This window comes from Homo sapiens, chromosome 8, assembly GCF_000001405.40.
Source record: "Homo sapiens chromosome 8, GRCh38.p14 Primary Assembly".
NCBI classification, from domain to species: domain Eukaryota; kingdom Metazoa; phylum Chordata; class Mammalia; order Primates; family Hominidae; genus Homo; species Homo sapiens.
The window spans coordinates 132,334,194-132,348,750 of NC_000008.11; the positions used below are offsets into that span (position 1 = coordinate 132,334,194).

The 14,557-nt window shown below is 44.7% G+C and overlaps 1 protein-coding gene across 4 annotated transcripts in view, besides 1 other annotated feature; it reads right to left on the reverse strand.

The window, feature by feature from the left end:
- The window catches only part of KCNQ3 (potassium voltage-gated channel subfamily Q member 3), a 360,235-nt gene that overhangs the window by 213,333 nt on the left and 132,345 nt on the right, over positions 1 to 14,557 (reverse strand). The gene's annotated exons all lie outside the window — the stretch shown is intronic.
- Positions 12,045 to 13,244: an enhancer, noted in NCBI's record as "MED14-independent group 3 enhancer chr8:133358485-133359684 (GRCh37/hg19 assembly coordinates)". NCBI's record gives its function as "activates an origin of replication core promoter dependent on BRD2, BRD4, P300/CBP and CDK7 cofactors, and independent of MED14, by STARR-seq in HCT116 cells {active_cell/tissue: HCT116}" and the evidence as "EXISTENCE:reporter gene assay evidence [ECO:0000049][PMID:35650434]".

Consider the following 14,557-nt stretch of genomic DNA (forward strand, 5'->3'; position numbering starts at 1 on the left):
AGTTGTGGCCGGGTGTGGTGACTCACACCTGTAATCTCGGAGGCGGAGGCAGGCAGATCACTTGAGGTCAGGAGTTCGAGACCAGCCTGACCAACATGGTGAAACCTTGTCTCTACTAAAAATACAAAAATTAGCCAGGTGTGGTGGCATACACCTGTAATCCCAGCTACTCAGGGGGCTGAGGCAGGAGAATCACCTGGACCAAGGAAGACTCTGTCTCAAAAAAACAAAAATAGAAAAAAGAAAAATGTCACAGTTAACTTATTTGTCTAACCTCAAATTCTTTCCTTAAGTAAGTTCCTCAGAAATACAAATAATTGGCAAAGAAGACAACCTTTCTATGGCTTTTTATACTTATTTTCAGTTGCTTTCTAAAAGGACTGTACCTAAATGATCTCCCCACAGTGGGATTTGAGTGCTTGTCTCCCATGCCATCCCCATCTGGGGGCCATGTCATAATGCTTCCAGATGAGAATACCTCAGAGATAACTGATCCTGGCAAGGAGGCAGGTGAAACCCAAAACTCATTGATACATTCAAGAGCGTTTCTTGTAGGGAAGTTTCGCTCCTTGATCTTCAGCCCAGACAAGACCCTCTTCCCTGGACACTGAGGCTATTTAACGGCCCCTCCTCTTGAATCCCACTGCCTGACTTCAGACCCCATCCTTTCTGGCTTGGGTCATACAACAGCCCCCACACTTCTGACTTCTCTCTGTCCCATTTATTTTATTCCCCCTCTTTCAGCCAAAGTGGTCTTTCTAAAATCAAAAATCTAAAAACAAGTCATCTTAGACATTTTTCTTCCTTCCTTCCTTCCTTCCTTCCTTCCTTCCTTGTTTTCTTTTCTTTTCTTTTTTCTTCTTTTTTTGAAGGAGTCTTGCTGTGTTGCCAGGCTGGAGTGCAGTGGTGTGATCTCAGCTCACTGCAACCTCCACCTCCCGGGTTCAAGTGATTCTCCTGCCTCAGCCTCCCAAGTAGCTAGGACTACAGGTGCGTGCCACCATGCCCAGCTAATTTTTGTATTTTTAGTAGAGATGGGGTTTCACCACGGTGGCCAGCCTGGTCTCAATCTCTTGTCATCATGATCCGCCTGCCTCAGCATCCCAAAGTGCTGGGATTACAGGTGTGAGTCACCGCGCCCAGCCCATCTTAGACATTTTTCAATGACTGCCCATTATCTTGCACCCAAGTCTTTCCATGATGGTCCCCAACTTCTCTCCAGTCTCACTGTCTACTCTGCAACTCTATCCCCCTCACTTTGTAATAAGTATTCACTAGGTGCTGGTGACAGGCCAAAGAGTGTGATAACCGCCCAGCTACTCACCCTGGGGGTTCTTGGTCTGACAGAGGAATTAGAGGGTGACGGTACAGGGTGACAGAGCCCAGCAAAGGTTGGGGATGTCAGGTCTCCTTTCTTTTCATTCAAAGCTTTCATTCCTTACAACTGAAAAAAGGCAATTTCAAAAGAGAATCCAAATTCAAAATCAGAGAAACCATTCAAGAGTTTTGTGAAACGATCCAAGAGTTAGTGATTTTCAGAAAAGCCTGTATCAGGCTATGGGGTATGCTGTCGGGGGAAGGGGTGGAAGAAGCAAAGTTGGGGAAAAGAATCTACTTCCTCCTTGTTCTGTGTCACCTCTTTTTGTAGGTTCCTTTTTCCTCCTCTCCACTAGTGGTTCCATTTATTTACCTGAAGGACTCCTGCACCTGCCTGTGATGTCTAACATGATAAACACCAGGAGGCCCTTGTGCTGGAGCCTTTTCTTCCTTCCCTCTGCAGCTCCAAGAGACTAATTTGTAGAGAAGAGGATCCTTCTCCAGCAGAACTCAAGTGTAGAAGGGAGCTGAGCTGGCTTTTTAGCAGCAGTGGGAAATTAATCTGTGTTCTCACCATCACAGTCCCACACCTGAGCTGCCGTCCTGTTTTCTTGCCTCTCCCACCTGACTGTGCATTCCCATAGGGCAGGGTCTAGGGCTGGGCACTTTGGGACCTACCCCAACCAATGCCAGCAGGGTTTCCAGAAGCAAGTCACAGGGGTCTCCCCTGCACCATTGGCATGGCCTCCAGCTGTGCCTCCACCTCCACATCTGTGGAAACCTCATGGGTCAGTGGGCCACACACCATCTAACACCTTCCAAGTCAGAGATCCACTTTCAAATGGTGGCTCTATCCCACATCCAAACACAAGGCCCACTGTAGTGACTTAATCTCTTAGGGTTTCTGCGTCCTCTTCTGTAGAAAGTACCTGCATGATGGGGGAGGCAGGGTTGGAGGATAATATTCATGGAGCTCCAGACAAACAGTAGGTGACCACAAAGAGTAAAAGGCACAGCGGTGTTATAAGGCCCATAAGATGAATAACGGGGATCTGAAGCCAGGGAGCCTGCCTTTGGGATCCACGTGCCTAAACATTGCACCAACCACCTCCTCTCTGTCTAGCCAAGTCCCCCTGCCCCTTGCAGTGTCATATAGTTCTTCCCAGTAGTAGTTTATAGTGCTCACTCCCTCTCCCTCCTCATAATTATTCTGTATGTTGGGCACCCATCATCTTATAATGCCCCAGTGCCTATTGAATCTTTTTTGGATCAGAGACATCCAATACAACTCATAGCTCTCTCACTCTAAAATGATCATAGGCACAGGCAATAATTCACAGGCCCTCTTATAGGATTGTTCAGGTTGTGCACTGCATAAGGGTACCTAGCCAATGGGCCTCTACAGGAATCTAGAATCCAGCCCACATTCCATTCAGGAGACTTGAGTCCTTGAGAGGAAAGCCAGGAGGAAGAAGTCCATTTTGGTAACAGGTATGCCCAGAGAGGAGGTCCTTTGTGCATTTTTTCCTTCTAAAAATGTTGGGTGCCACCTTTGTCTAATTTGTATAAAGGTCCCTTATTGCCTAAAGTTGGTCATGACACTTACATATAATTCCAGAGGAGTGGATGCCCCAGAAACCTGTCCATGGAACATCCTGGGGCATAAAGGTTTCTCAAGTCAAGAACTGTAAGGCTGAGCATGGCGGCTCATGCCTGTAATCCCAGCACTTTGGCAGTCCAAGGCAGGAGGATCGCATTGCTTGAGCCCAGAAGTTTGAGACCAGCATGAGCAATAAAGTGAGAGCAATAAACCCAGTCTCTATAAAAATTTTAAAAGTTAGCCAGGCATGGTGGTGTGTGCCTGTAGTGCCAGCTACTCAGGGGGCTGAGGCAGGAGAATTGCTTGAGCCCAAGGAGGTCGAGGTTGCAATAAGCCATGATTGTGATCGTATCACTGTACTCCAGCCTGGGCGACAGAGCAAGACCTTGTCAAAACAAAAACAAAAACAAACAAACAAACAAACAAAACTTTAGGGTCAGCACCCACCACATGAATATATGAATGAAGAAGGGCTGGTACCAACAGGTCACATGTTGATTAACGGTTTGGGACTCATACAGACATGGCATTCACAGGTATAAAAGACTCCTCAGACCCCCCAGACCTGCCGACCTTGCAGTTTGGAAATCACCATGCACACACCATTGCTACAGGAAAATGCATTTGCCCTCAATGTGAGGATAAAAATCAATGTGCCTAGGCCCATGCCTGGCATATAATAAATATTCAATGCATATTGCCCCAAAAACCTTTTGTGGGTTGATTCGGTGCCATAAGACTGAACTTTGAAGTCTGGCAGTATAGAAATGAGCTTTGCAAACCACTTGCCAAGAGAGGAACATCATAAATGCACATGATATTCTTATCATCTAAATATTTTTCCAAATCAATTCAACATAGTAAAGATAGGAACCATCTTGGGGCTACATAGGGATGGGCTGGGTAAGAGGGAAAACTTATGGGCAAATCTCAGATGGTCGAAGGTTTGGAGAAACAAATGGCTTCTATAATTTCCTTTCTTTTTGGATTTATTGAGTGCCTTCGGTGTGCTGGGCAGAGTATACTGGGAAGCACTTTGTAGATATCCATTTTAATTCTCACAATGGCCCTGTGAGAGTATCAGCATGCCTAGGAGGACCTTGGAGGTGAGGAGGCTTAGGCATGGCCCAAGGTCACACATTAGTGTGTAAAGGCAGAACTGAAATTAAACACCCAGGTCTGACTTCCCAGTGGTCCTCCTGCACAAGGGAGTAGCTGGGATCCCAGACCCAGGAGTCCAACCATTGGGATTTAAATCCCAGCTTTGCCATTTCCTACCTGTGTGAGCTTGGATAAGCTCCATGTCCTCTCTGAGGGATAATAAAATGGGGGTGATTGTGGTACTGACCTCAGAGGGTCACAGGATAAGTAATTATTACTATATGATAGCACTTAGAAGAGTGTCTGACACATATGTGCTGTTCATTTCAATATCATCACTGTTGTTTTGATCATGGCTCTTTGGAAGCTGGTGGTTTGACCGTGGTGTTCAGAGGGAAGCCGAGGGTGTGAGAACACTCAGTAGCGTCACCCTCAAATGGCGCCCGCCAGTCCAGAATTCCCATCTGTGCTCTCAGGAACACACCGGTTGTTTGTTAGCAAATGACCTTTCTTGCTGAGGGGATGCTGACACAGAAAAAATTAAGCTGCTTCTGGCAGAAAATAGGCAGGAAACTGGTCTTCCCAGTAAGCAATGGTTCAGAAAGAAGGGATGTTGAGACCTCATGGATATGTGAACTCCAAGACCTCCATCACCTCCTCAGTGAGCCTTCTCTTAATGGGGCTTGTACAACGTGGGTCAGGGGGAGAGGGAGGTCAGCTAGCTTGGTCTTGTGAAACCTCAGGAGAAACCAGTGTTGAGAATGAAGAGAGACCACAGGGCAAAACCATTAAAGTTGCATGCATACTGAAAACTTCCTCTTCCCGCATTACAAAAGTTCTTGGGATAAGATGGCATGGGAATTGGAATTGAGGGTCCTGGGCTCCAGCTCTTGTTCTACCATTAATCAGGCAGCTGTGTGGCCTCAGGTCAATCTATTCCCCTCTCTAGGCCTGAGGCACCTCCTCTGAACAAAGTGGGGGCTGGAACAGAGCCAGGAGCAGGGCCCTTCCAGATAAGAAGCAATGAGTTTTGTTAAAAATAAGAATCTATGTTGTATATCATTTTTAACTTCTTCTGTTCATTAATCCGTTACTCATTTATTCATTCATTCCACCAACTCGAACTGGGCAATCTAGAGGACCCCCTCACCCTTCAAAAATCTAAATTATACAAGTTTGTCCTCTGCCAATTCCAAATGCCTAGGAATGCTTTGCTCTTTACCACCATGTACCATGGTCAGCTTCTTCACTGGTTTCTTTAAAAAAAAACAAAATGCACTCACACTAAACATTTTATGAGTTTGGATCCTTAAGATGGGGCAGGGGTGAAACCCCATTTCTACTAAAAATATTTTAAAAATTAGCTGGGCATGGTGGCGGATGCCTGTAATCCCAGCTGAGGCATGAGTATTGCTTGAACCAAGGAGGCAGAGGTTGGAATGAGCCGAGATCTCACCTGGAGAGGGCTTATATGACAAGCAAACAGCCCCTGTATCCTGCCTGCACTCTGTTTATGCCTCCCAGTGCTTTGCCATCACTATGAAGTCCACATTTTTCTGACAGTATTAGAAAGATTAGCTTCCCCCATTCCCCAAAGCCTGGAATCCTGGCGACACCCAGACCCTGGGAACAGAGATGGGGTAGCTTTTATTGGAAGATTTATAAACCCAAACCTATGAGGACATCCAGCAACACAAAGGCCTTCTCTGTAAAGAAATTTACTCTTCTGAGTGCGGGCAACAAACATAAAAAAAAAAAAAGCTCATCAAAAAGTTAGATAAGGAGTTTCATCCATGCAGCTGAAGTCATCACTGGTCATTAGAGAAATGCAAATCAAAACCACAATGAGATACCATCTCACGCCAGTTAGAATGGCAATTATTAAAAAGTCAGGAAACAACAGATGCTGGCGAGGCTGTGGAGAAATAGGAATGCTTTTACACTGTTGGTAGGAGTGTAAATTAGTTCAACCATTATGGAAGACAGTATGGCGATTCCTCAAGGATCTGGAACCAGAAATACTATTTGACCCAGCCATCCCATTACTGGTTGTATGCCCAAAGGATTATAAATCATTCTACTATAAGGACGCATGCACACATATGTTTATTGCAGGACTATTTACAATAGCAAAGACTTGGAACCAACCCGAATGCCTGTCAATAATAGAATGGATAAAGAAAATGTGGCACGTATACACCATGGAATACTATGCAGCCAGAAAAAAGAATGAGTTCATTTCCTTCGCAGGGACATGGATGAAGCTGGAAGCCATCATTCGCAGCAAACTAACACAAGAACAGAAAACCAAACACCGCATGTTCTCACTCATAAGTGGGAGTTGAACAATGAGAACACATGGACACAAGGAGGGGAACATCACACACCAGGGCCTATTGGGGGGTGGTGGGGGATGGAGGCAAGGGGAGGATGCGTTAGGACAAATAGCTAATGCAAGTGGGGCTTAACACCTAGATGATGGGTTGATAGGTACAGAAAACCACCATGACGCATGTATACCTATGTAACAAACCTGGACGTTCTGCACCTGTATCCCAGAACTTAAAGTAAAATAAAATAAAAAAAGAAATTCATTCTTCTTAAAGAGCAGCCTAGATTTTAAGTAGTAAAAAGTAGTTTCCTTCATTGCACCTATATTGAGCACGTACTGAGAGCTAGGAACTGAGCTGGATCCCTCAAGGAGTTCTCTGATATAGTTGTCACTAGCTACATGTGATCATTCATCTAAATTCAAATGAATTGCAGCTAAATCACATTTAAAGTTTGGTTCCTCAGTCACAGTAAAGACATTTCAAGTGCTCAATAGTCACATGTGGTTGGTGGCTACAATATTGGATAGTAGAGATATGGAGTATTTCCATCATCAAAGAAAGTTCTACCGGACAGTTCTGGTCTAACAGGAGCAAAGAGAGGAACAGAAAACTATGCCAGCCAGAAGCCAAAGCGTCAAACACTGAGGAAGAGGTCTCCTCTTGAGTTCAGCATTAGTGCGTGACTACCTCGCAGGCAGGAGTCATTCACAAACCTCAGTGGAAGAGGTATCTACTGGAGAGCTGTCATGTTCAATCTGTTTCAACCTTCAAGTTAGATAAGGAGTTTCATCCATGCAGCTGAAGGCACGTTTTCTCCGTCTCAAGAGGTTCCAGTCAAATGTCCCCTCTTTCTGGGCCTTCTCCTCTTCACTTCTGAGCTCTTCATCTTGCTCACTCCTGCCACACCCATGGACATTCTACCTTGCATCACAATCATATGCATGTAGGTCTTATGGCCCTTCCATCTGTGAGTGCCTTCTCGTCCCTTGGTTCCTAGCAGTGCAATTTGATAACTGAACGAATGAATGAATCAGTGAAAAATAAGTGAATAACTGAATAAACAAAGAAACAATGAAAACATGCACAACTGTCCATTCCACTGTGGGCTTAATCCAGACCTGGTTTCTCTGTCATAAACCTATCCAATCACTGGTGAACTTGAAGAGGTTAAGGGTCTGTGTCAGCTACCAGCTTATTATCTCTCTAATCTTAGAAACCTGTGGAAAAAAGAGACATTCAGAGCATATCCACCTCTAATCAACCTGATAACTGCCTATACAAAACTCTCAGGCATCCATGCAGTTTTTACCTGGCAAAAATAATTCATGAGTCATTGTATTTTCTCTAATAAAGGGGATAATTTTGCATGCACAGAAACATCCCCATTTGTCCACACAGCTCTTTCTTCCTATTCCTCCTCTTTTCAGACTTGGAAAAGTGTTCTTTCTGCTTGTTAAGCAAAACTCTCTCCATGTGTCCTTGGCAGTAACCTCTTAGTTCCACTGGGTATTGATCCATCAATCATTGCCCTGTCCCCTTCCCAATTCATGTCCACTGTTGCTCATGGTCAGTTTTCTGTAAATGTGGACGGAGGATGATGATCTCTTACCATCTCTCTAACACTCCCTAAACTCATTTGATTGCCTCTAGCTCAAACCCAAACCATGACCCTCTCTCTTTCTTTCACCATATCTCCTTTAAAAGGCACCATGTCTTCACCTCCCCCTCCCCCTGAAATCCAACTCTGTCCCCATCCATTGATTTCTTTTTTCTTTTTTCTTTTTTTTTAAGGCGCGTCATCCCCATTCTCATTACCCAAACCACCATCAAATTTCCCCAATTCTCGCCTTCTCAGGTGCGGTGCCAGAGTAGAAAGGGCAATAAGTAAGGTAAAGGTGGCCAACAGGCAGCCCACGGGCAAAATTTGGCCTATGGATGTGTTTTGTTGGGTTGACAAGGTATGATAGAAATGGAGAAAGTTAACAGAAAAAATCCAGATTCTCCCTCTTGTGAAAAATAAGATCTGATAAATTATCATCCCTACTCAGCGTCAGCTAGCAGAAGCAGTAGTTGCTCTCTTTAGAGAAACTAGAGTTTGCCACCAGTTTCCTGCAAGCCTCACTACTTCCTATTGTCTTGCCCTAGTCATGCCTTTCATTTGAAATACTTGCTAATCCCTGTAGGCATTTGAGTCTGTAAGTGCTGGACTACAGTTTCAAATTTATAATATTTTACAATAAATGTGTTTCAATAGTTCTGAAGTATGTATAGTCATAAACATCTAAACATCACTGAATAAATTGGGCATAGATTATGTGTAGTTCTTCATCATGAGATATGGCTTGTATTCTCCCCCATCACCTACTGCACTATAAACACATTTTCTTACACATGTGGTTTTTGTTTTTACAGGCATGTCAAAGAAAGCATAGGGCCACTTCTTCAGGGCTAACGTATTGGGCATTGTGAGCTTTCCTGCAAGCTGATGCCTCTGTCCAAGTACACTGAATCCACAGCACACAGCGCTTCAATCCAACCCTGCTGTAACACTGAACATAGTGTAAGGACTGCTGGGACTGCTCACCTCTTCATTCTTGAAGCATCTGCTACTCTCGTGGTGAATCACAGTGTTCAATGGATTTGCTTGCTCACTCCATTTCATCCATGCACTCACCATGTCACTTATTCATTCTTTATTACAGTTTTATTGAGAGTACACTGTGTTCCAGACCCTGTGCCAGGCACATGGAAGACACATCTTTGTTTATACCCTTCCCATGGTGTCTACATGACACTGCCTGTATTATATTTATCTGTGTTCATATCTTGCACAAGAGGTTGAAACCAGTGCCCAGGCCTAATCTTTCTGTGTCCCAAGCACCAAGCTGGGGAAATACCCAAGGAAGCCTCCATAAGTGCTTATGAAAATTGAATTTGACGTGTATACCCAAAGCTGGCAGAGGCTGGAGAAGACAGAATCTTGCTAAACTCACAGGAGTCAACCCCAAGGCTCTAGCTGTCTCATCAAAGGCCATCTGGGCTGAGGCATCATGGTCAGTTCAGCAAGGCAGAAGGAGGGCCACCACCAAGGTGCTGCTGGTGGCTTCTTTAGGGACCTTCCAATGAGAGGTTTGTTTTCCAGCTACTCCTACCACCCAAGAGATACTCGCTCCCTGATTTCCCAAGCTGGAGGTGGCATGCTTGTGGAGACCTCCACCTGGTGTCCTGGGTGGCTTTGCTTGTGGCTCTTCCAGTTTCTATAGTGTGCAGTCTTCAGTTCCATATTTTCTTTGCCACCCTGAAATGAAGGGCGTATCTGTGCCAAATCTGCTCAACGAAGAAGACAGGAAATGAAATGAGATTTGAAGCCAAGTTACTACTCCTTTTTCCAATTTTAAGACTGTGGCTGAACAGATGAAAGATATTCAGATAAGTGGCACATGTTCTTTGTGTTTAAATAGAGCTTGTTGCTGGGCAATAATTGGCCTCTGCATGCAGGTGCCTTTGGTGAGAAATCCAGGCTTCTTTGGAGGGATGATCTGAGTAAGTGCACAAGCATATTATGGGAGATATCTAAGGAGGAAAAGGGATTCTCCCATAATACACGGTGATCTCATCTGATTATATCCAGGTTGCAAGGAAATCTCCACAACTTACAGAGTATTATAGGGTCAGTACCCTATTCTCTACTAACATAAATGTATAAACAGCCCTTACATTTACTACACATTTAACATCTTTCCCAGTGATTTTATAAATGCATCATATTCAAAGACATTGCCAAATCTAAATCTGTGCATGTGTCTACTGGGAGGCTATCTACCAGGTGCCATTTGAGGAAACTGCACACCTTCCTTCCCCTTTGCCTCCACTTATTAGACCTGAATAAGACAGACATTTAGTGAGTTTGTTCTAAGTGCTGAGCACTGTTCTGAGAACTTGCTATGTATTAACTCTGACTCCTCAAGAAAAACCTATGAAGTTGTGTAATTATGATCTCCACTGTGCAGATGAGGAAACTGAGGCCTGGAGGAGTAAAGAAACATGGCCAGAGTCACACACTCATCACGGTGGAATCAGAATTTGTATCTTCAGCACCTAGGCAAAGAAAATAGGGCAAGTAGCTTTGTTTATATTCCTGGGAGAGATCACAACATAGGCTACAGGTTCAGGGTATAGAAAGCTGGTGGGGACAGTTGGGTGAAGGCAACAGGTAAGGTCGAGGCCAGTGCAGAAGGAGTAATGGAGACTGGAGAGGAACCAGTTGGTGGAGTTACCTAGAGAGGAGGGGGCTGGGTGCTTTGCGTGGGGCAACTTACGAGCAGCAGTTTCCAGAAGCTTGGGAGAAGGGAGAGAGAAGGTGTCAAAAGACAAAGGATGTGAAGTAACCCAAAGGAGAGGACAAAGAGCTGAGATAGAGTGACCAGTCTCTCAAGGTCAACTTTCAGCTCCATGTGATCAATGGTACAGTTTCACTAGAGCATGCCCCCCTGTAATTTGCTGATCCAGGGGCATAGATTGGTGGCCCTAACTTGCTGAGGGATTTTAAGTGAATCCTTGCTCCTCTGGGGCCCTCAGGACACTAGAATTTATGACTCTGATGAAATTTAGAATAATATTGATTCACAAGTCAGAAATTAAGATCGGTGATCTGGTTAAGTCATGGAGCAGCTACATTCATCACCTACTTTCTCTCACGTATGAAATGGAACCACCCACACCCATCCTGCCTTCCTTAGATCTGCCTTAGGATTTAAAAAGTGCAATGAAGGTGAAATACATTTGGAACCTTGAAAAGAGTACATAAAACTGAGGCAGAGTGATGGTCCAGGAACGTACTCAAGCAACTGGTAGGTAGTGAGAGCCTACTCCGTGCAAGGCCTGCATGAGGCACTGGGGATGCAGTGAACAAGATGAGCTTCAACCATGATAGTAACACCAGATCAGGAAGACAGCCACCACACAAATAATTCCTGGAGTACAGTTGTAATAAACAGTATGAAAGAACAATCCCATATACAGTGAGAGCACATACTTTGGAGGAAGGCAACATCTGGTTTGAATACTGTCTTGATAATTTCCAACTGGGGAATGTTTTTCTGCCCATTGTTTAAAGCACTCTCAGTCTCATTACCCCTATCTCTGAAATGCAAGTCTTGGAGGGTGGTGGGGAATACGATGATTATCACAGAGCTGTGCACATAATAAGAGCTCAGTAAATAGTTCTTGTATGTCATGTAGAAGACTACAGCTACATTAACAATGATGATGAGATAATGAGGATGATGACTGATAATGATGATGATAATGATGAAATGGTGATGATGGTGAGGAGGATGGAATGGTGATGATGATGATGATGACTTAATGGTAATAACGTGATGATGATGATGATGATGATGGTGATGATGATGGAATGGTGATAATGTGATGAGTATTATGATGGGATGGTGATGATGACAATGATGATGATGGTGATGATGATGAAAAGGTCATGATGGTGATGGTGATGATGGAATGGTCATAATGGTGGTGACAAGATGACGATGATGATGATGGTGATAATAATGGTATGGTGACAATCATGGTGATTGAGGATGCTGATGGCAGTGATGCTATGTCAGGGCATGACCATCACTTTTCCCTTTCTTCTCTTCCCAGAGGGCTCATATGAGCTAATCTACAAGTGGGTCTGGAACTTTAAGCCACATATGGGTACCCTGCTTGGGCTGTCAGGTTCCAAAAAAGGCAGATTGGCATTTCCACACTGGTTTTCTCTGGCTACATTTCTTCTGCCTCTGCTCATGCAAGTGCCACTTCACTCTGAGAAAATGCCAGCCTCTTTGAGGTGAGCTGGAGCCTAGAGAGGCGGAGGCGGGAGCATTTCCAAAGGTCGGGATGACTCAGCAGTCCTCTGAAAAGCCTCTGGTGATAGGGAGGTGATGCTGTCAGAACAAGGAAATACTAGAACCCTCTCCACCACTCTCCATCACAGCTAAAAGCTTGCCTTGCCATTTCTTTGCCCTCTTCTGCAAGTCTAATGAGGGAATATAGATGCTTACTATATTTGAGCTGCAACTAATGCTTCAACTCTGGAAACTCTGAGCAAACTCCTTCATGTTTGCCTGGACAAATCTCCCAGGAGTCCCAGGCTGGAAGGTAAACTGGTACCCCAAAGCCACAGGGTCTCCTACCAGACTTGTTTAACCTGCAGGACAGAGTCTGGGAGGGGAGAAGAGGAGGTCTCACCTCACAGCTGTTCCCTCTAGTGTGCACTCCTCAGAGGACTTGCTGATGGTAGAGCTGCCCCAAATACAAAACGGCTGTTTTGTGGGAAGGGAAGCTGGCAAAGCTTCTGGAGACACTAGGGAGGGAGAATATAGTATAGACTAGGCTAAAGTGGAGGGCAGCAGTCCAGGGCCCTGATGTTGTTTCGACGGCGTTGAATGGAACTCCTTCTAGGTGAAGATGCTGGTAGTTTTGCCATCACCCTCCATTGTCTTGTGTGGGCGGATTCACGCAGGTAGGATACCTGCCTGGCCCCTGTAGATGTCTGAGTCTGTACCCCTGGGCTGGATATTTTTAAGGATACCTTCTGCCCCTGGAGTCTGTAGTTCTCAGAAATAAGTTATGGTAAACAAATCACCCAAGAATGAATAGCCATTGATTCTAATCCTGACTTTGCCAATGGAATTCCTGCCAAGTCCCTGGCCCTCTCTTTACTCATCAAGTATTTCAATGGCCTGGAAAGTACCCATTCTTACCTTTCCAGGCATGATGATGCGATGGCAATGATGACAGTGATGATGATGGTGATGATCTTATAACACTGCATTTGCTTACTTTGCTCTTTGCTAATGCTCCCATTCTTGGAATACAATAGTGAACAACACGGTTGTGTTCTTTGACCTTGTGGAATTATTTGCTAGCGGGGGAGGGAGTAAAAAAGGGTATATATAAATACTTAAGACAATACACAATGGCAAATGGTGACAAATGCTGTGAGGTGAAAGGACAGGCCCCTCAGAGCAAAGGGCAGCAGCAACCTAACTTACATAATTCATCAAAGAAGATCTTGTTTTAAATAACTACTCTTTAAACTGAGATAAAAAATATTAGATAAAAGTTATCCAGGTAAAAAGAGGAAAACCGGCCGGGCGCAGTGGCTCACGCCTGTAATCCCAGCATTTTGGGAGGCCGAGGCGGGCAGATCACGAGGTCAGGAAATCGAGACCATCCTGGCTAACACAGTGAAACCCCGTCTCTACTAAAAATACAAACAATTAGCCGGGCCTGGTGGTGGGCGCCTGTAGTCCCAGCTACTTGGGAGGCTGAGGCAGGAGAATGGCGTGAACCTGGGAGGCGGAGCTTGCAGTGAGCCAAGAACACGCCACTGCACTTCAGCCTGGGCGACAGAGCGAGAGACTCCATCTAAAAAAAAAAAAAAAAAAAAAAAAGGAAAACCCACTATTCCAGATAAGGGGAGCAGACCTTGAGGATGCTCCAAGGCAGGGAAGAGTTGGACAGTTCTCTGAGTCTCTATTGCATTTCCTACATTGTAATTTATAATTGAAATTCTTCATTATGAAGACTGTGATCTGCTCCTACAAGTTAACTCTAAGTCCCACCCTAGGAGAAGTGAATTACTATTTGCAGCTGCTAATGAAAAAAAAAATGCTGCCAGGATCATAAGCCAGGATATGAACTGCCCTAATTTGGAATCAGCACCTTCAGAGGTGGTTACTTAGCCCTTAAAATATCTGTGTAAATTTGCAACAGACGGTTTGCTGGACTTGGATAAGGGCTGTTAGAGATAATTTTTCATGGGTGAAATAAATAGTATTTACATTAGAATCTGACAAGCCCTGCAACTGAGGGTTTCTCTGCTGCATGGGAAATCCAGTGGGGCACTGTCCAACAGAACTTTCTGTGATGGGAGAAGCATCCTACATCTGTGCACCACTATGGTGTCACTGGCCACCTCAGGCTGTAGAACACTTGTAATGTGCATAAACTAAAATTTTAATTGTATTCCATTTAAATTAGTTTCAATGCAAGCAGCAGCATGTGGCTAGTGGCTACCATATTCCACAGGTGCAGAGGCTGGCGGATCCACCTTCTCTCCTCTTCACAGAGGGCTCTGTCATCTGATTCCACACTAACCAGGCAGTCCTGCTTCAAAAGATCATCGTGTTCACCTGAAAGT